This window comes from Homo sapiens, chromosome 13 (assembly GCF_000001405.40).
Source record: "Homo sapiens chromosome 13, GRCh38.p14 Primary Assembly".
Classification (NCBI taxonomy): domain Eukaryota; kingdom Metazoa; phylum Chordata; class Mammalia; order Primates; family Hominidae; genus Homo; species Homo sapiens.
In genome coordinates, this window is record NC_000013.11 from 77,905,843 (window position 1) to 77,926,334 (window position 20,492).

A 20,492-nucleotide genomic window follows, 5' to 3' on the forward strand; every position below is an offset into this window, starting at 1 on the left:
GGAGAAGACTGACCCAGCCCAAATGCATGGAAAATGAAGTTGTAGAGGGAAGAATTTGAATGCTTTTTTTGAGGGAGTTCATTGCAAGGTTTGAAGAAGGGAAATGGCATGATCTAACATATTTTTCAAGAGATCACTGTTGCTGCCCAGTGTAGAATAGAATGTAGGGCCAAGAAAGGAAGCACTGATGAGAACTAGTGGTGAGCTGGATCCTGTGCGCCCTGAGGCTGTGAAGAGCGGGTTATAGGCTGTATATATTTTAAGGGTAGAGGTAGCTAGCAGGACTTGCTGATGGGTTGGACACATGATGTTGGAAGTCAGGACACTCACAGAGGTTTACCATGTGCATGGTGAAGCCATTTACTGAAATGGGGGAGACTCAGTGCACCACAGGTCTGAACCAGCTTTGAACCCATGTAGCTTTAAAAGAACTGCCAATTACCCTTAGAAATAAGAATAAAAATTATCCAACTGGTTTCAAGGATTATGCTAGACCCAGCCTGGTACAACTTATTCAGACAATATTCTGCTATTGATTACTCCTCCCTTCAAAACATGAAGCCTAATTTCCCTGCCTTTGAATGTGGATTGGACTTAGTGATTTGTTTTCAATGAATACAATGTGACAAAAGTGATGATGTGTGATGTCTGACACTAGTTCCTAAAGAACTGGCTTCCTCTCTCTTGGAACACTTATTCTGGGGGAGGCCAGCTGCCATGTCATGAGGACACTCAAGCACCTCTGTGGAGAAACCAGATGGCAAAGAACTGAGGCCTCTTGAAAACATCAAGCACTAATTTGCCACGTCTGTGAATAAGAGGATCCTCCAGCTTTAGACAAACGTTTGGACAACTGCATCCCCAGCCAGTATTTTAAATGTACCTTCTTGAGAGACCCTAAGCCAGGGCCACCCAACTAAGCCACTCCTTAATTGCCAAACCAAAGACACAATGTGATTTAAAAAATATTTACTGTTTTAAGCCACTAAATTGTAGGGTAATTTGTTATTCATTAGGAAACCCACATGCCTGCTTGCATTTGTTTGCTCACTTAAGTGAGTAATAGATCCACATTTGAACCCAGATGGTCTAGAGCCTATGCTTACAACCACTATAATACCTGCCCGACAGTGGTTTGAAGGAGGTGATTGTACAAAACAAAATGTTTAGAATTAAATCAAATTTTTTTTAAACCTATAGCTATGTGTCAAATAATAGTAAAATATCTAGATGCAGAGCAAAATCTTCTGCTCACCTAGTGCGATGGTTAACTTTATGTGTTAACTTGACCAGCCACTGGTTGCTCAATTAAACATTCTCTATTTCTGAGTGTGTCTGTGAGGATGTGTCTGGAAGAAATTAGTATATGAATTTGTGGACTCAGAACAGCAGATTGCCTTACCCTAGGTGGGTGGCCATTATCCAATCTCTTGAGGGCCTGAATAGAACAAAAGGCAGAGGCAGAAGGAATTTGCCCCTTTTTCTTCCTATCTGGAATGTCTCATTTCATCTCCCCTGGCCCTCAGACTGGTTTCTCAGGCCTTTGGACTTGGACTGAATTACACCACTGGCTTTCCTATATTTGCAGCTTGCAAATGGCCAATTATGGGACTTCTTAGCCTCTATAATCTCATAAACCAATTCCTCATTATCTATTTATCTGTCTGTCTACTAACTACCTATCTACCTATCCATCCATCTATCTATCCCACTGGTTCTGTTTCTCTGGAGAACCCTGACTAATCCCCCTAGTTATTTTATTCAAATAATGTACAAACATTTGGATATTTTAAAATATTTTATTCTGTCTTAAATTATTTCCAAATATGTTAATATTGTTATCCTGTAGGTATGGCTATCAGAAGAATCAAGATGAATGAGCGTCCAGACCATTGAAGGGAAAGAAGTCTGGCTGATGAAAATGAGCTCTGCACTGAATCCAGGCCATGTTTTGAGGTTTCCATTGTTTTTGGCTCAGCCTAGAAATTGGATTATTGCTCTTCATACCACTGGAGGCCTGCAGCCCAACCTCTGACCCAAGCTATCACAGAAAACAGGGAAACACAAACTGAAAATTATAACAATGCTCTTCAAGCTCAACAGAGAGATAGTCAGACACGTAATCACCACGGAGAGATTACAGTTTTCTAGTCTACACTTTTGAAGGGAAAGAGACTGCAAAAAAAAAAAAAAAAAAAAAAAGAGAGAGAGAGCATTAACCTTTATCAGCTTTCAGCATTTCATGCTTTCAATTTAGAACTGGATGCTATTGGCTCTGGAAGGCCATAGAAGATGTGGGAAGAGCATGCACTGTTGCTTCCATTATTTTGTAGTGAGAAGGATGGCTTTGGCGAGACTCTAAACGCTCTTCCTTTAAAAATCTTAACCTCTGCCTCACTGATCAGAAGGCTTTGTGGAGACCCAGCAAAGCCTGATACTCTGTGACAGAAACCATGCCCACTATTGATGCTCATCTCTGTCATCTTAATGGCCTCTAGCAAGAAAGTCTTTAGGCAAGCTAGTGCTTGAAGCTTACCTAAAATATAAAGGTATCCCTGGTGGGGAAAAACTATGAAGTTTTGCCAAAAAAAAAAAAAAAAAAATTCACTCTCAACCAAGATGCCATCTTTAAAATTTGGTGAGAGATTGTTCTTATAGATGGGTATGATTCTTAGACATTCATTTCTTCATCATTCTTTGGGAAAAATAACAACATCTAACATCAATAATTTGAAGTCTAAGGATACAGCTTTCCCCACTGAAGAGGAAATGGATTCACTTTATTGCAAGAGGAAGCAACTCTAACTTTAAACCCAGCAATAACACATTCCTTATTCCCTATTTTTAGTTTTTTCTTTGGACTTTACCCCATTAAATTAGATAACTTAAGGGCAAGGTCTGAACAGTGAAGACAATTCAAACATGTAATCAAAAGGCTGTCTCTCTGATCGCAAAAAGGGTGTTTAGAGTTTAATATTGACACTATGTCGCTTCCACATAAATTAAAATTTTAAATCCTGTTTAAAATTCAGTTGAATATATGTTACCTAACATTGATCAAATATGAGCCAGTTGGCAATACTCACATAACTGGCACTGGTTTTCATATCATGATGTCTCATCTAACTGAATAGCTGTTGTTAGTGTTAAGTCCTGCTGGCAATATGGTATCCATTTGACAAAATGATAGCCTATGTTTGTGCTGACCCATTTTACCCTAAGGCTTATACTGCTTCTCTAGAACATTTCTTTTGGATGATAAACACAAATAAATAAACACTAGATTGAAAAAAGGTGTGGCCATACTGGCTAAAAGATTTCTACTCAAGAAAGACCGTGATTTTATAACTTTACCTTGGAACAGCTGCTTGAGAAAGAAACAAGGCAAGAGAATCCAAATAAATTATTCTATTACATTATAAAGTCATTTTGATATTATAGTTTAAAATTTTTCTAAAAGGATAAATAGCATGAATAAGAAACAAATATTCTTTACTTATTTGAGGGTTTTGTGAAGTGAATCCTACAAAATCTCTCTAACCAGGGGATTTACATGTTTCATTTCTCTTTTTAATTAAAAATCACATACTTGAGATAATAAATGAAGAAAAAAAATCCTGTTAACACACACCCCTGTTAATGCCAAAAGGAGTCAAGCCCCATAAAGTCAGGAAATGTCAAAGTTAACCATCTTGTACAAGCAAATGTTCACTCACCTCATTAAACATAGATAGCATTTTCTTTTTCTACTTTATTAAATTACAAATGTACATTGAGCTTTAACTGTTTATTTGTTTCAGAATATTCTACAACATTTATAATGCCTAGTACAGTGATTGGCACACAGTGGTCACTCATTCAATGTTTGTTAAGTAACGATGAACGGATGAGTGGATGAATGAATTTGATCACACGGCAGAAATCATCTATGACAAAACATTTGTCATGAGCTTTTCAGTTCTCATACTCTACATATATTCTTTAGATAATTGACATGACTGTATATTTACTATTTATATTTTCTAGTACTGATGATCAGGTCTTCTTGGCACATAGAGTCAGAAACTCTAGAATTGAGGCTTGAGAGTGGGCTGGACTCTTGTTGGAGTTCTGCTCTTCCATGCAGGGCGGAAAAGGTAACGACAAAAATTCCTCTCCCACCCTCTCTCTCCTACTCAAACTTGTCAAGGCAATGACTGATACAAAACAGAACCTACTGTTTCTCACTATGTAATGGGAGTCTATGAAGAGCTTCAGCTGTGGAGAGGATTGTTAAGTTTCGTGGAAGTAGATGCAGTAAACATAGGAGCATTGTAAGAGATGATTGTTTTAGAGGATGAGTGAGTGGTGTAATTAAGAGGACAACCAAGATTACTTTGCCAGACTGCAGTCTATTCCATCCTGTGATAAGTTGTGAACGTTTCTTTAAACGACTGGCATTATATAAATGTTTTCACAGTAAGAGTCAAAAAAGGAAAATAATGGAATGGCTGCATTTCACAACTTTAGGAAAGGGTGTATTCTGTTTTTGTCTCTGTTTCCTGTAGTAGTTAAGAGTTTTTCTGTGTTTGAACTAGAGTTTTAATGAGATAGGGCACCTTCACTAAAGGACTTCCATGCCAGAACTCTTTCTGTATTAATACACAAAGAAATAGTTCAAAGTAAGCTTTGAATTTGGAGTCAATATGCTGATCAAGTGCATGGAAATATTTTCTTCTTGACATACAGTGCACCGTGCCCTGAAGGACAAATATAAATTACAAGTTCTACCCTGCATCCATCAGAATGCCCTTAATCACTTAAAGATTAGCCTATGTGAGTTAGAAATATGTGGGTCAGAAATAATGTTAGCTTATCCCCCAGGGGTGCCATCTCAATAGATTACAATAAGTACAGTGCCCCCTAGAGTTGTGCAAGGCAGCGGTTCTGTCCATGGGAATCTATTTCACACACATCCACAAAACAGAGGCCTTTTCACAGCTCTGGAAAGATTCCTCTAACTTGCTGAAATAGAACAATGGCTTATGAAAATGAATTAAAGTTCTTGAAACAAAATCTCTAAGAGAAACATAGAGATAGAAAACAATTTTTTAAAAATATTTCTTAAGAGAAATTGAAGTTTACCTCAAATATATTTTCCTACCAGAAATTTATTTCTGAGTCTGTAACAGGCCAGGAAAGAAATTGATTGTACTCTTTTATTATCTAAATTTAAAAATATATCCATAGTTTGAGCTTTAAAACTATCACCGACATATTACATATTTTGAAAAGATCCAACTAAGGGAAATAACAAACCCCATTCACAAACCTGGCCTATTATTAGTTCACTTATCTGAGCTGGATCTTCTAAGATCACTGGTGATATCTGAAGACACAGAAGAATGAGAACCTGAGGGCCTCCTGGCTCAGAACGAGACTTGCAAACTACATGAATTCAACAAACCTTATTAAGTAACTTCATGCCATACCTAAGCCTAATTCTATCTGTGGAATATCTTATGGGAGACTAATAAGCTGTGATCAGAAAATGTCTGATTACTATGGAATCTGAAAGCTCATTAAAATAGGCTGAACACACTGAGTGAGTGGGAAGAAGACAGCGTACAGTGTAAACATTCTGAGGATAGTTTTCCTCCTTTCTGGAAACTACAATGAAACTGAAGAAGACAGAAGTGGGGAAAAGACACAGGTCAGCAGGCATGAGTGCAGTTTTGAGCCTCAAAAGGGGAGACTTGCTTGAGAAATGCTTCAATCAATTTTGCTAATAAATTTCTGATTCAAGAATGATCCTCTTCTATCTTCTCCCTTCACGCCTTCTCCTCTCTCTCTCCCTCTCTCCCATCCACCACCACATTTTGGCCATTTTCTTGTTCCTTTACATTTTCACCAGAGGCCCTACAGGGAAGGATAAATAACTCTCTAAAATAAAAGCCTTGGAAATAATAAAAAGTCTAAAATTAGAGAAGTTGTTGGCTAAGGTATACCCACACACCACATTCAGCTATCTCCCAAACATAACCAACTTCTTTTTAACTGTGCAAAGTCCTGAAAGAGAATGTTTCACATCATAAATTACATCTTGAATCTTATTTCAGCTCAGGCTTTATCTGTCAACACCCTTTAAAGAACTTAATCATTTATTAGCATTTGGCATGTTTCTCTAAAAATAATCAACTATAGCATATTAGCTACACAGAGATACCCTTATATGGTTTTCTTTGTGAATTGAAGAACATGGCTCCCTGGCCTGGAGACAACAGGGTCTTGGCTACGTTATCCTTTTGTACAACTATGGAAATATCTTCAATCTTGAAAGACTCATTTTAAATGAGCAAACTGAGAAATGTAAACCTTTTGATAGATAAGCCTTACCATATTGAAAGAAAACCTTACCTTGACATTTGTAGAGGCTTGGATTTACGGAGTGACCAAGTGGCAGATCAAAGGCACACACAAGAAATACCATCAAATTGAACCTAGGGAACCTTGCATTGCCCAAGGCCAAGTGCTTACTGACCATTTTGTCACAGAAATCTATGACCAACATGTGAAACAGTGAATTGGGAATATGAAGTCTGAGTTTCTGGTTGATTTGAATTCTGCTATCAACCTGTTATCTGACTATGACAATACTTTAATACAGAAGGAATCAAGCTTTCTTTTTCTTTTTCATTTGGACATCAGTAAAAATATGAGTGGAAAAAGCCCACTACTCTTATGTCTTCTGTATAACATCATTTGTCTGAAGCATTTGTGTAGTATTGACAGTTGCAGCCACTATGATAGATGGGTGTCAGGGTATTTGCTGTATTGTTAACTGATTCCAGGTCATTCAAGCTAAAAGCCTGGCTTTTAATTAACACGTTTTAAAAGTTAATACTTTAAATGCACTTAATTGGTGCTCCTTAAAAATTATTTTGCTTTACATAAATCATACAGGTTCCACTTTTGGTTCAGAATGCTTATGCTGGTAAAATATCTTTAAATATTACTAAAATATTTCAGTTACTTGACTGGAAATGAGAACATTGTTATTAAACTGGGATAAATTAGACTCCTCTCCCAATGATACCCTTACTTCTTGTGTTGCTATATATGCATATGCTTCAGTTTACTGATTGGAATATGTGAATATACTTCAGTTTACTGACTGGAAAATTATAACTTCAAAAGTTGGTGGTGTTCCATCAACTTTTACTTTTAACTACAAAACTAGTTAATTATACATAAACTTGTTAAGTACCAGAAGTAGTCTAAGAGGATAGTGCAAAAGGTAAATTTGTTCAGAAAGATAATCCTGATTGTGTCACAAGCAGAAAATGTCTGATTACCTGCCAAGGTCACTTCACTCGAAACTCATTTGTGGGTTCAGTGAAGCAATTCCGCATTTTGACATACCAGCATTTTAATGTTATATGTTCCCACCCTTAACTAGTTAAACGTTAAAGATCAGCAGTTTTGCCTTTCAGAACTATGAATGCAGCCTCTTTGCCTCTAATAGTAGCCTACAGTTCTTAACTGTAAAACCATCTAGAAGCACTCCAGTGGGTCACCAGCCTAATTTCTAGCTCTCCATCACCACTGGACACCTGATTACCTTTGGATCCTTACCAAACTAGTTAATGTGGATATTGGTATTTGTCTTATCAGTTTGCAAGTAGATTTGTTTTTAAATGCAATTTCTTTACACATAAAGGAAGCTATATTTGAGAGCTAACTTCTTTAACTCAGTTATCCATGTAAATATAACATAAAGAGAGTTAATAAAATTCAGAAGTAATTTAAGAACTCACTATTTGCTCAAGAATTTTTAACTTCTCCCAACCTACAACCAAGTTTTGTTAAATATCATTGCCAAAGCAAACCAAGCCAAATCAACTAACCAACCAAACAACAACATAAACACATTGATAGCATCCCCAAGTATACCCGGCTGTCTTGCTTTTTATCCAGCTTTGATATCTATGCTTCTACAACTTAGTAGTGGAACACCAGGCTCTCATGTGAACAAATATCTAGATTACCCCATTTATTTTAGGATATATAGGAAGGGCAAAATAAGTAGCTTGTGAATAAGGAGAAATTCATCCTAACGTCAGGTAGTCAAGCACTGGCTTTTGGTTCTGATGTATATGTAGACTATGTAAATATTAAGCATGGTGGCCCATATACATATTACAGATAAACATTAATATGCATTTACATCCATATTGAGATATTATATAAAATAGTGATTAATACCAAGAGTACAAGAATAACTTTCTAGCACAATATGGCAATATCTTTCAAAATTACAATGCACACACATTTTGATTTAATAATTCCAGTTATAAAAATTTACCCTTCAGATGTAGTCACACATGTGTGCAAAGCCATATGTACAAACATGTCGTTTGTAGTCATGTTTGTCACGACAAAAGCTGGAAAACAAAGAATACTCAAAACGCACATACACACACATACACACATTTTAATAACATTTATCATTTCTTGCTATATGCCATGCCCTGTGCCAAATGATAGTCATCTTTTTACTTATATATTCTTATAAAACTTAACATTTTAATGTATGTACATGTACACGTGCATATATATTTAAATAAATATCTCCTTTGGATGCCTGAAGTTTTCATTGTTCTTCTGGTTGGTGTTGTGTAATGTAGGCATAGCCCTAGTGTGTGCCTATGAGAAGCGTAAGCAACGCTTATTATTTTCTGCATGTTTACATGAGTTTAAAGTTCTTCAGCAGCCTCAACTTGCTAAGTGTCCTCAGACACTTCCCTAGCCTTCAACACAGGATTTCACCCACAACACAGGAGACCTGTGAGAGTGGTATGATTCTTCCTAAAAGTTTCCAGGGACCCAGCTCCTTGAGGAAGTCCAGGCAGATCAGACATGTTTCCCAATGCTTTTCAGCTTCCCACTGCAGCAACTCCAGATAAAGTCCCACCAATTCCACAGCCTGAAGACTGTAGCTTCCAATAAGAGCTATGACATTTTGTGATTTGTCAACTTTACTGAACTCTATATTCATTAAACTCTAGATTAATGGAATAGATTCACATTGACATTTCTGGGCCTCTGGGCCCTTAGTGTGCCAACAAGAGAGTAGGAGAATTTCACAAACCCCCAGAAATTGTGTATATTGAATTCTCAAAGAGAATTATAAAACCCCACCAAAAAAATTAGAAATCACTGGTTTAGATTTAAGCCTCTCATATTAGGATATATTAAATATAGCCTTCATAACTCATTTAAATTACTTTTTTCTGAATGATCATACCTGACTACTCTGAAATTCTAAATGCATTAAAAAAACTACGTTGCCACAATTATTTAGGAGAATAAATGGCTTTTAACTGGTCCTGGATTTGATATTTTGGTAAATTAAGCCATTAGAATAACTTCCACTGATATTACACACTACAGACCAGCTGAAGGGGGTTTCAAGAGACCGAAATCCTGACTCAAATTAATTTCTGAAAATGTTTACCAAGTATTCTACTGTGGGATAGCATATTATTTGCCATAATTCCACCAAATGCTCCCAAATGAGATCCTAAAACAATACTCAAGGTTGGAGATGACCATGCAGTGCCTGAGCATGCTTTGTGCAGTGGGATGGGGTGGACCACAGGGTCTTGGGCTGGATGATCTGCTTTCAAGCCCCAGTTTCATTACTTTGTAGTGGTATGACATTAGGCAAGTTACTTCTTCACCTCTCTGACAAGTAGTTTGCCTAGATCTAAAGCAGGAATGATAACGATACCTCCTCTACAGGGTTGTTATAGTGACTTAATGAAATAAACCAAGTGCCTAGTGCATCATTAACTGGTAGCCATTATTATGATATTGTGTCTCAAGCTAAACCTAAGGCCACAAGGTAGGATTCAATAATGATGACCTTAGTGATGGGACGTAATGTGATGAATGTGTTTGTGACCCATGTAGATTAATGGATGGACAGATTTATAATGACTCATTGGCTTATTTCAGAAGTAAAAACACAGTCATGTTAAGACTGGATGGCTTCAGGGAAAAGGATGTAACTTCCTAGGGAAATCATATGGGAGTTTGAAATGAAAGGGAAACTGTATGACCTCTTGGGGAGTCAGAAATTCTCTAGTTTATTACAAATACTCATTTAACCAGACAGAGGAAATAAGATGGTTCTGGAAGAGCTGATTTATATCTGTCCTGGAGGCAGCACACCAGAACTAAAAAAATGTTCTCAATCCCACCTTCTACACAGCACTTCAGCTACTGTCTGATTTAGAAAGGTTTCTAACTGGGCTGGACATGTGGGGTTTCCTGACCCCCTAAACAGAACTTTCATAAAATCCTGTGCCAACCTAGCAAAACTAGATTTTAATCTCCCTTTGGGAAGAGATCTTGTTAGATTTATTTTAAATTTATCACAACACCTTGTACTGAAAAGTTCTCAATTCGGTTTTGATGAATTGAATTGAAATTCCTTTGCCAAATTAGAATGGGAAGATTTAGTTTGTGGGACGCCTTAAGAAGTAAAAGGGTCACTTCTGGCCCTCATGGAGTTGTGGCTGCATTTAGAGATTCAATTTCAGCTCTTACCAAGTAAATCCTCACAGTTCATCAGAATCAATTGCCATACAGGATTTTAGGATTTCTTCAATCGATTCCCCCATTTCCGGGGGTGATTCCCTTTAGAGAAAACTATATCCTAATCCACTCTCACCGCTAAACCTCAGAAATGTTCGGAATTCCCCTTAAAATATAGCTATTGGGTTAGGATTTTTAGAGATTTATGAAGGGAAATTTACAGGCATGCCTTATGGTAACTACTCCTGCCAATAGGTCAAAGCATTCCCTACAACATTTCCCAACTTTACATTCCATTTTTTTCCCCTTGTACTGAAGTACTGAAGTCAGGGCTAGCTATAGGCAAATCTGCAAAGCACAATTCCATTTCCTTACACTGTGATTGTGTTTTTATGTGCAACTTTCTATTGCTGCTGCTGCTGCTGCTGCTGGGAAAGTTTTAAATATTTTCATATGTCTTTGAAATTTTCCAACTGTTTTATTTAGACTGCTTTTTTTTTTTTAACACCATAAAGCCTCAGTAAGTGGGCACTGGCAGCCTTATTGTGGAATTGAGGAAACTGAGGCCCAGAGGTGCTGGGATGTGTCTGGAGTTCCAAAGCAACCTGGAGCAACCTGGCTCTTTGTGTGTTTCTACTGACGCCCATGGTAATCACACAATAATGTTAACTACCGAAACCCTTACAGATTTTGAGTGCTCCTTGGTCTTGTCCATGAAATAATTGATGGGGTGCCATCATATAGCTTGCACTTTGGAACCTGACAGATTGGGTCTGATCCCCAGCTCCACCTCTAATTCATTTACTTTGATCATCCTACCAGTCATCTGTAAACTAATTGTAATATCTACTTGTGGGCTGCTGGAAGGAATAATGGAAGTAACACATCTCACCCAGTCCTTGGCCCACTGTAGATATTTAATACAAAGTAGCTACAGTCCGTCACAGCAGGTGAACTGTGTTTTTCCTACTCACCAGTCTGGATCTCTTTTTTCCAGGCCATTTATTTCCTAAATACCTACTTTGTACCTGCTACTTTCAAAGTCTTCCAAAACAGTCCTTCCCAAAGTTAGTGGGCATATCAATCACATGAAGATCTTAAGATGCAGATTCTAACTTAGTAAGTCTGAGGTAGCCTTGCATTCCTAACAAACTCTCAGGTAATATTGATGCTGACTGTCCATGGACCACACACTTTTGACTAGAGGATGTACCCCATTAGGTGCACTTAGGGACTAGATCCTTCAGGACTAGTGGTTCTCAAACTTTACAGTTCATCATAATCACATAAAGGGCTTGTTAAAATACAAATTACTGTGCTCCACTCCAGAGTTTCTGATTCAGTAGGTCTGGGGTGAGGCCAGAAAAATCTTCATGTGCACCAAGTTCCCAAAGTGATACTAACATTGCTAGACTGGGGACTACGCTTGTCCTAAGCTTAGCAGAGGTCTACTGAAGACCTGAATGGAATTTTATTCCAATGGTTACTGACTTTTATGAGTGGACAGAACCAAATGGAATTTGGTTCCAAAGATTACTGACTTTTAGGAGGGGCAGAACCTTAAGAGGGAGCTAAAGGGAAGCTCCCTCTACAAGCTTTCTCATCTCCCCGTCTCCAACCAGGCCCCCTTCCTCAAGCCCACCATGATTTCAGCAGGCGCCCTTTACCTTGTAGACATTGATAGGGATGTCAATGACGATGTGCAGCAGGTCTCCCAGAGCCAAGCTGGCGATCAAGATATTGGGACCGTTTCGCATGCACTTGTTCTTGTAGATAATTCTCAGAAGTGTGGAGTTCCCGATGATCCCCAGCACGAACACAAGGCAGGACACAACCGTGTTGATGTATTTGAAAGTCTCCTTGATCTCGATGGGTCCTTGGCACGGGGGAGGGGAGATGGTGCGTGGCGGAGATCCTGCCGTCCTGTCTCCTTTAGGCACCTCCGCAGGTGCCAACGACCGCGCCAGACTGGCGTTGGAACCCTTGGGCCATAAGGTCTTAGTGGGTGGCGTCATTATCTCTGCGGTTTGCAAAAGCGGAGTGGCCCTGTCAGGCGGGAAGCCTCTCTCCTCTCCCCAGATCCGCGACAGGCCGCAGGCAAGAACCAGCGCAACCAGGGCGCGTCCGCACAGACTTGGAGGCGGCTGCATGCTGCTACCTGCTCCAGAAGGCGTCCGGTGGCCGCTCCGCAGTTTCAGAGCCTAGAGACAAGCAGAGGAAGGAAGACAGGACACTTGGGTCAGCTGCCCGAGCCAAGTCGCTGCAAACGCTAATACCGCCCGCAGCCTCTTCGCCAGTATCCACGCTCAAAAGTAACTCAAGTTTGCGCGCCAGTGGGAAACTTGGCGCTCATGACTCGCCAGCGCGGGTCGAAACTCCTTCCTGATGCCCTCTCAGCTGTTTTTCTTCCCCCGCGTGGCCAGGAGGGGTAAATAATATGCAGTGGGGCGGGGCGTTCTGGAAGGGGTGTGCCAGGGAGGGAATGATGGGGGTCCCAGGCAAAGCTCCGAACTCTTTCACGTAACGGGAGGAATACAGACACGTCTTAGTTAAGCGTGCGTGGGAACCGCGGAATTAAGGCACCTAGAGGCCAAGGGCTTGTGTCAAGCTCTGCATTTTGCCCCGCAGGGGAACCTCTATACCCCGCGATTGAACTCGAAAGACTCCTCCCGGCGGATGAAAGCCGCTACTCCCTGGCTGGCTGAGCTACAGCTCCCGCAGCGCGCCCAGGAGTGCGCCGGAGATTCGGAAACCCGCAGAGACTTCTCAAGTCAGCAGGAACTTGGAAACCGCTGTTCCCTCCAAACGGCTTCAAACACTCGCGCTCCTTCCTTTACCCAACCTAATTTTAATTTGCCCTCTCTATAGGCTTAATTTTTATTTTTTTAAAATCCCAAACTAGTAAGCCAAACCGAAGCCCCAGAATAAGGTTCAATCAATGATTTTAATTCAACACCAAGCCCGAATGTTTACCTCTCGGATCTGACAAACCAGATGCAGAGCGACGAATGGAGACCACCTTCCCGGGAGGCGGAACCCAGCTGGGTTCCAGCCTGCTCTGGGAGAGGAGCACGCCTCCCTTGAGCTGCAGGCGGGTCCGGCTCTGACGAAACGCTGCGAGAATGCCAGACAGTGTAGCCTCCACCGTTTGCTCGGGGTCTCTGCTGCCATCAGACAAGTACTTTTATTCATTCATCCCTTCCCATCAATCACCGCCAGACTCCTCCCGCGCCTTCCGACCCCGCTGCAACCTTTCCCCTTGGGCGATGCCTGGACAGCATCAGTAGTAGTTGCCCGAGGGAGGGGGGCAGTCCTCGTCCGGGGACAGGTCCCAAAAGGCTGTTTATTTGTTAGAGTTCTACGCTCTTCAAATGAACCCAAATCAAGGGCAAGTTATCACGCACCATGTGACACCCGGCAGCTCCAGACTAGAACAAGGCTCTGCACTGAACGTGATAATTGAACTTTTAATGCCAAGTGTCACTTTTCTTTCAGGTAAATGTTCCGCCGCTGTGATATTTAAGGTTGGTTTGTGGGCGCTGCTCTTTGCTCTGCTTCATTTTGCCCTGAAGTTTCATTTCAAGCCAACATTAACCCCAACACGGAACAGCTCGATCTTTTCTTCCCAGGCCCTCTCACTGCCCCGAGAGAGGATTACAAGTACTCCTCATTTTCCCCAGTACAGCTCTTCTCCTCTCTTCCTGCCACAGTATCGGTGTTAGGCAATCTCAGGCATTTTTATACTGTACCTATGACAGACTTGATGCTTATCGGAGACATGAAAATAATCAGAAAGCTGCCATGCAAATTCAACATGATATTTATTTACCAGGTAGAGCAATACAATAAGGTCTTTCTATCCATTCTTGAGCTCCATGTTTACCGCAGAGAGGAAAATAACAGCGACTGGTAGTTTTGCCCAGAGATTGTATAAAAGAGGTCAGGAAGTCAGGCTTGGAGATGCACTGGAGAGTACTGTGCCGTCCTCCAATCAGCAAAATCCCTACTGGATCTGTGGAACTTCAAACCCAGAAGCACCCATTCCATGTAGCAGTTTCACCCAGAGACAGGAGGCTCGTTTTTTGCTTCATGTTAGTTAATGGAATAGATGGGACAAGAACCTTGGATTTTTGGCTCTTAGGCAATGCTTTCTGGGACAGTGGAAGTAGAAAATCAATTTCTATTTAAAAAGGTGAACTTTAAGTGTGAAATGTGGTTAGGAACATGGTTACGGAGTAAGGCTAAAGGAATGAGAAATATGGTCTAGGGTTGTGAGTGCTAATTCCAAATCTGGCTATTTTGAATTGCAGTCCTTATCCTCCCTGTCTCGTAAGAACGAGGTCAACATTCAATTGCTGAGCCAAGTAACAATATACAATGTTGTCTGAATAAGGAATTATATGGAAGCTTTGGAATATGAATATTTTGCTTAGTTGACTCCACCCAGTGTTGGATCTGCCCTTCCTATACAAGCTTTGTTGGGTTCATGCCTATGGCTCCTGTGGGGTGACTTTTCTCTCTCCCCACTGGCCTTCTCATCATCTCCATCTCCATTCAAATTTCCTCCACTGAGTCCTGGAAGTCTGCTCTAATCCTCACTGAGGTCTATCTCTTTACTTTTCTTGGAGCACTTTTGGACTGTTAACCACAACTTAGCAAGCACTTGATCACATAAGAGACATCTATGGGTCACTATTGATTTCGTGTGACTTAATTTCTTTTACAGGACAGGGACTTGAATGAGTTATATGTTCTTTCTGCACCATCCCACTACCTGCCACAAAATGAGCTTAAGAAATATTTTTTATAAATTGATAATGATATTTTAAAGTATTCAGTTATACTTTATTAACTGGTCATTGGGCTCAAGAATAAGGCCAAACAATTTTAAGGTAAATATACACATTCCTCATTTGGAATTTAAAACACAGTATCAGCTACTCCTTACAGGGTCTACCACCTGCATTAGACACCTTTTCACAGTACCTCATTGATTCTCTGATGTTTGTCTTCCAGCTCTGTATTATTTTCTATGATGTTATAGGCAGTGAAACTGAGTCTCAGTAATTCACTTAAGGTCATGTGGCTAGTTAGTTGTGGGACCAGGATTTGGAGCTAGGATTTGAATGCATGTCTAAATGGTTACACAGACTATGCTTTTTATTATTGTAATTGCAGAAAGCCTAAGCAAATTTTTTTCTTATTTTGGGGAAACAGTGTTCTAGACATCAGTAATATGCAATTGAAGTTTAACCTTAAATATTTCACCTTAACATGTAAAGACAACCATGTGAAATGTAAAGAATTGTTCATTGATCTTCATGAATGACTGGGTGTCAGTTTCCCCTTTTGTAAAATGGAAGAAAAGGATTAAAGTTACTTCTTGCTCCAATAAATCAGTCCGACTGACAAACTGCCTCTGTAGGAGTGTCTTAAAGTGCAGAAAAGTGGAAACAGATTCTAGGCCAATATTTTTTTTTAATGTTACTTTCATTACTCATGCCTTGAGCAGTACTGCTATGGATATAGTTTTTTTTTCATCTTATTACTTAAAATCTGTTATCGATAAATTTTATTTATGAATTCACTAGCAACTAACTACTATGTAAATTTCACTTCTATATATGAGCAAAAAGTTGTATCAAATTTTAAGAATTCCTACCTGCAAACTTGTGAACTAATTTTGCATTTATGAGAGGATTTTTTTTTTTTGGCTAGGTAAATGTGGAGTCTTTTACAAAGTTGCTTATTTTAAACGTTTATGAAGTGTCTAGGAAATCTATCAAAATTCCAGATTGGCTAAGATCACTTCTCAAAGTTAGAAAGTTGAAGATAGACAATGTCCCAGTATTTCCTTTAAATGCTTTATCTAGAAGTTCCTGAAGACAGGGTTTAATGCAATTCGGAATTCATTTCTCAAAGAGGTTTGCCATGGGGAGCATTCCCAAAATAAACCTTTTCGCCTGGTGACAGAACAAAGAAAAGCCCTTTTAGCCACACAAAAAAGTTAGTACTTTCATGTAATCCTCTTGAAATGAATGTGCCCTCAAAACCTATGTTGAACTCTCTAAATCATGAATGCTGAGAGACAAGGTGTGCGAAAAACACAGAAAGAGTTGGTTCAACTGGTTCTCCACATATTCCTCTGGGACCAGATTCAATGATCAAATAGTGGTTGAAGTAAGAGAATAAAAAAGTTTTAAAGTGACTGCAAAAGTCAATAGCAAACAGCATGAGAATTTCTATTTCTTGAGTTTTCTTTTCTATTAAGTGACTGTAGCTATCTGGATCCATGATAAAGAATCTTTTTTAATTAAGTATAATGTATGTACAGTGAAATGGACAGGGCTTAACTGCAGCTTGAAGAGTTTTGCCAAATGTTTGCAATCCTGTGACCCATACCTAAGGGGCTCTTTGAAAATTCATTTATTCTTTAAAAGTGGTAAAATTTGAATATTTTAGATTTGGACGCTATTCCTGTTAAAACGCTCATTAAGACACTATTTCTGCTTTATCAACTTATCTGATACATCTTATCAGCTTCTATAACTAAAATGTCACTCATAAATTAGAGGTGTGATTAAATGAGAGAATCTGACATTTGAAACGTTATCAATGATTGCTTGATGGTACCAAATTACACTTCATTCCCTGATGTAATTAAAATTTGATAGGTTTAATGTAACTAGAAATAAGACTTCATTAATTCTTTTCTGCCTATAGAAAATATGAGAAACAGACAGGATACATTCTTTTTTTCTGAGAAAAGCAACATAGTTCAGCTATTTTAGGCTATGGTCTACTTTAATTAAAATTAGACAATAATTTGCTTTCCTACTTATAACTTAAGTAATTTTTATATTCCTTTCTTTGACATATTTTTTTTCACCAATCTCAGTAAAACAAAAAATGAGTGTAACCTGGTCTACAAACTTCTTAAAACTGTTCACAGAACTTTTGTAACAACTTTGAAAAGATATTAGAAATTCCAGTCTAAGAAGGCAGTCGGACCTGTGCCGTCTTGGTTTGTCAATGCACACTGTATTTATTAAATTATTCTTAGGCCACTCAGTAATGGAGAAAACACTATCATTACTGTATGTCAGCACAGTCTTATCATGTGTAATGCACTCTTTGGGGAGTTGTTATTTCATATGGAATATAATTTATAATGAGTTTATGTATTTTCTGTGACTCTAATTGTTTTCTTTAATTTTTACCTTTCCTTGTTTCCATTCTTTTGATACCTGAATGAAGTGTCCAAAGAGATGTGAAATAGTCAAAATAGGTTAGAAAGCAAAAAGAAAGAGAAACTTGGATCTTTAGCTATTTACTGGTAAATAAAAGAGAGGTACTTTTTTTTTTTTTTTAAAGAAAGTAAAAGTTATTTGTAGTACAGAATAGAATGTGCTAGGAGAGTCCAAAAAGGAGAATTCCCACAGCAGGCTTTTTTTCTTCTTCTTTTGTTTTTAACAACTGTACTTAATCAATGAGATACTTTAAATTTCATTTCTGCTAATTATTAAGCTCTGGTAATGGAAATACCTTTTAATCAAAATCTGCCAAAATCTGTAAAAAGTTTCCGATTATGCTTTGAGATTTAATTGTAGGGGAATAGAACTATTTGTATGAAAATTTAAAGGGAAACAATGATTTTACTGAGTGTTTATTTACTATACATTAGATGAACAATTTAACTTTCAGGCCAAGAGTCATGGCATGCTTTTGTCAAAGCGAGGGATCATCTGGGGCTTGCAAAGCCATGCCAATTTCATAAGGCGATTTTTGCTTATCTCTTTTAGTGATGCATGTATAGCAAATTGCTTCTTCTCTTTTGGGCCCTGCTAGAGAGAACAATTATTGCTATCCGTGAAGAAAGTGATTCTGAAATGGCTTTACCAGCTGTGAATTATCCAAAGAAAATTACTCACAGAATCTCATGGGAAATGCACAGGCGACTTACTTCTTATGAGGGCAGCAGATAATGCAAAGCTGGCATTTGAGGGGGACATGGCCAAGGTAACAGGTGCCAAGTACCCTGCAGAGAGGTAGGCAGAATATAGAAATGGGAAATCCAAGAAGCGGTTAATTCCTTGAGTATCTTTTAATGTGGTAAAAAAACACATAATATAAAATTTAACATCTTAACCATTTTTTAAGTGTACACTTCAATTGTGTTAAATACATCTATATTGTTATGTAACAGATCTCTGTAACTTTTTCATCTTGCAAATTTGAAATTTGCTATTAAAGAATGATATGGTTTGGTTCTGTGTCCCCACTCAAATCTCATCTCCCATAATTCCCATGTATTGTGGGAGGGACCCAGTGAGAGATGATTGAATTATGGGGGCAGGTCTTTCCTGTGCTGTTCTCGTGATAGTGAATGGGTCTCACGAGATCTGATGGTTTTAAAAACGGGAGTTGTCCTGTACAAGCTCCTTTTTGCCTGCTGCCATCCACCTAAGATGTGACTTGCTCCTTCTTGCCTTCCACCATGATTGTGAGGTCTCCCCAGCTATGTGGAGCTGTAAGTCCAATAAACTTCTTTCTTTTGTAAATTACCCTATCCCAGATATATGTTTATCAGCAGCCTGAAAACGGACTAACACAAAGAACAACTCCCCATTTCTTCCTCCACCCAATCCCTAGCAACCACCATTTTAATTTCTGCTTCTATGAATTTGACTACTTTAGAAATCTCATACAAATGAAGTCATACTGTACTTGACTTTCTGGGACTGGCTTGTTTTATTTAGCTTAATGTCCTCAAGGTTCATCAATGGTGTAGCATATGACAGGCTAAATTATATTATTTTTAAGGCTAAATAATATCCCACTGTTTGTATATGCCACATTTATCATAAGTCTGCAAATACCTCTTTTAATTCTTTTCTCCGTAGATCCAGAAGTGGGATTGCTGAATCATATGGCAGTTCTATTTTTTAATAGAGGTATTTGCAGACTCATGATCATGGCAGCACCATTCACAACAACCAATAGGTGGAAACAGCCCAAACTTTATGCATGGATGAATGCACAAATAAATGGCTAAAAGGGGCCAACATGCAGCTCAGGCTGTGCCTTCAGAGGGTGGAAGCCCTAAGCCTTGGCACCTTCCATGTGGTATTGAGCCTGCAGGTGCACAGAAGTCAAGAATTGAGGCTTGGGAAATCTCTGCCTAGATTTCAGAAGACGTGTGGAAACGCCTGGATGCCCAGGCAAAAGTTTGCTGCAGGGGAAATGCCCTCATGGAGAACCTCGGCTAAGGCAGTGTAGAAGGGAAATGTAGGGTCGGAGCCCCCACACAGAGTCCCTACTGGGGCACCGCCTACTGGAGCTGTCAGAAGAGGGCCACCGTCCTCCAGACCCCAGAGTGGTAGATTTACCGACATCTTGCACCGTGCGCCTGGAAAAGACGCAGACAATCAATGCCGGCCCACGAAAGCAGCCAGAGGCGAGGCTGTACCCTGCAAAGCCACAGGGGCAGAGCTGCCCAAGACCATGGGAACCCACCTCTTGCCTCAGCATGACCCAGATGCGAGATATGGCATCAAAAGAGATCATTTTGGAGCTTTAAGATTTGACTGCCCTTTTGGATTTCAGACTTGCATGGGGCCGGAAGCCCCTTTGTTTTGGTCAATTTCTCCCATTTGGAATGGCTGTATTTACCCAATGCCTTTACCCACATTGTATCTGGGAAATAACTAGCTTGCTGCACACAGCATGGGGACCCTGGGACATTTTCCCCATGGTCTTTGGGATTAACATTAGGATCCTTGCTACTTATGTCAATTTCTGTAGCCGGCTTGAATGTATCCTCAAAAAATGGAGGAGAAAGAAAATGGGTTTTTCTTTTCTATTGCATCGTCAGGCTGCAAATTTTCTAAACTCTTATGCTCTGTTTCACT

At 39.4% G+C, this 20,492-nt stretch overlaps 1 protein-coding gene and 1 long non-coding RNA gene across 5 annotated transcripts in view, besides 6 other annotated features; one reads left to right on the forward strand and one right to left on the reverse strand.

Moving 5' to 3' along the window:
• Positions 1–2,600, forward strand: part of EDNRB-AS1 (EDNRB antisense RNA 1) — an 89,506-nt gene extending 86,906 nt beyond the window's left edge. Inside the window, exon 7 of the long non-coding RNA NR_103853.1 lies at positions 1,850–2,600. This is a non-coding gene — a long non-coding RNA (EDNRB antisense RNA 1). The remainder of the gene's footprint in view (positions 1–1,849) is intronic.
• Positions 1–20,492, reverse strand: part of EDNRB (endothelin receptor type B) — an 80,041-nt gene that overhangs the window by 10,356 nt on the left and 49,193 nt on the right. For 2 of the 4 annotated variants that reach the window (NM_003991.4, NM_001122659.3), the window contains exon 1: positions 12,249–12,989. In NM_003991.4, the coding sequence (NP_003982.1) occupies positions 12,249–12,731 (483 nt within the window). In that variant the 5' untranslated portion in view covers positions 12,732–12,989. Of the gene's footprint in view, positions 1–12,248; positions 12,990–13,554; positions 13,841–20,492 lie in introns of those variants that run through there. The other 2 variants (NM_001201397.2, NM_000115.5) reach the window with 2 other exon arrangements.
• Positions 12,918–13,990: a promoter, noted in NCBI's record as "-187 to -1259 relative to translation start codon; described in PMID:11054415". NCBI's record gives its function as "promoter induced by Jun and Cebpb in non-pigmented ciliary epithelial (HNPE) cells" and the evidence as "EXISTENCE:reporter gene assay evidence [ECO:0000049][PMID:11054415, PMID:24265756]".
• Positions 12,980–13,094: a promoter, noted in NCBI's record as "-102 to -12 fragment". NCBI's record gives its function as "basal promoter in epidermal melanocytes" and the evidence as "EXISTENCE:reporter gene assay evidence [ECO:0000049][PMID:16623715]".
• Positions 13,004–13,048: a protein binding site, noted in NCBI's record as "GC1/CA2". NCBI's record gives its function as "synergizes with Sp1 to promote gene expression" and the evidence as "EXISTENCE:protein binding evidence [ECO:0000024][PMID:16623715]".
• Positions 13,004–13,048: a protein binding site, noted in NCBI's record as "GC1/CA2". NCBI's record gives its function as "synergizes with Sox10 to promote gene expression" and the evidence as "EXISTENCE:protein binding evidence [ECO:0000024][PMID:16623715]".
• Positions 13,031–13,066: a protein binding site, noted in NCBI's record as "CA1". NCBI's record gives its function as "promotes gene expression" and the evidence as "EXISTENCE:protein binding evidence [ECO:0000024][PMID:16623715]".
• Positions 13,346–13,355: a transcriptional cis regulatory region, noted in NCBI's record as "-615 to -624". NCBI's record gives its function as "responds to Jun to promote expression" and the evidence as "EXISTENCE:reporter gene assay evidence [ECO:0000049][PMID:24265756]".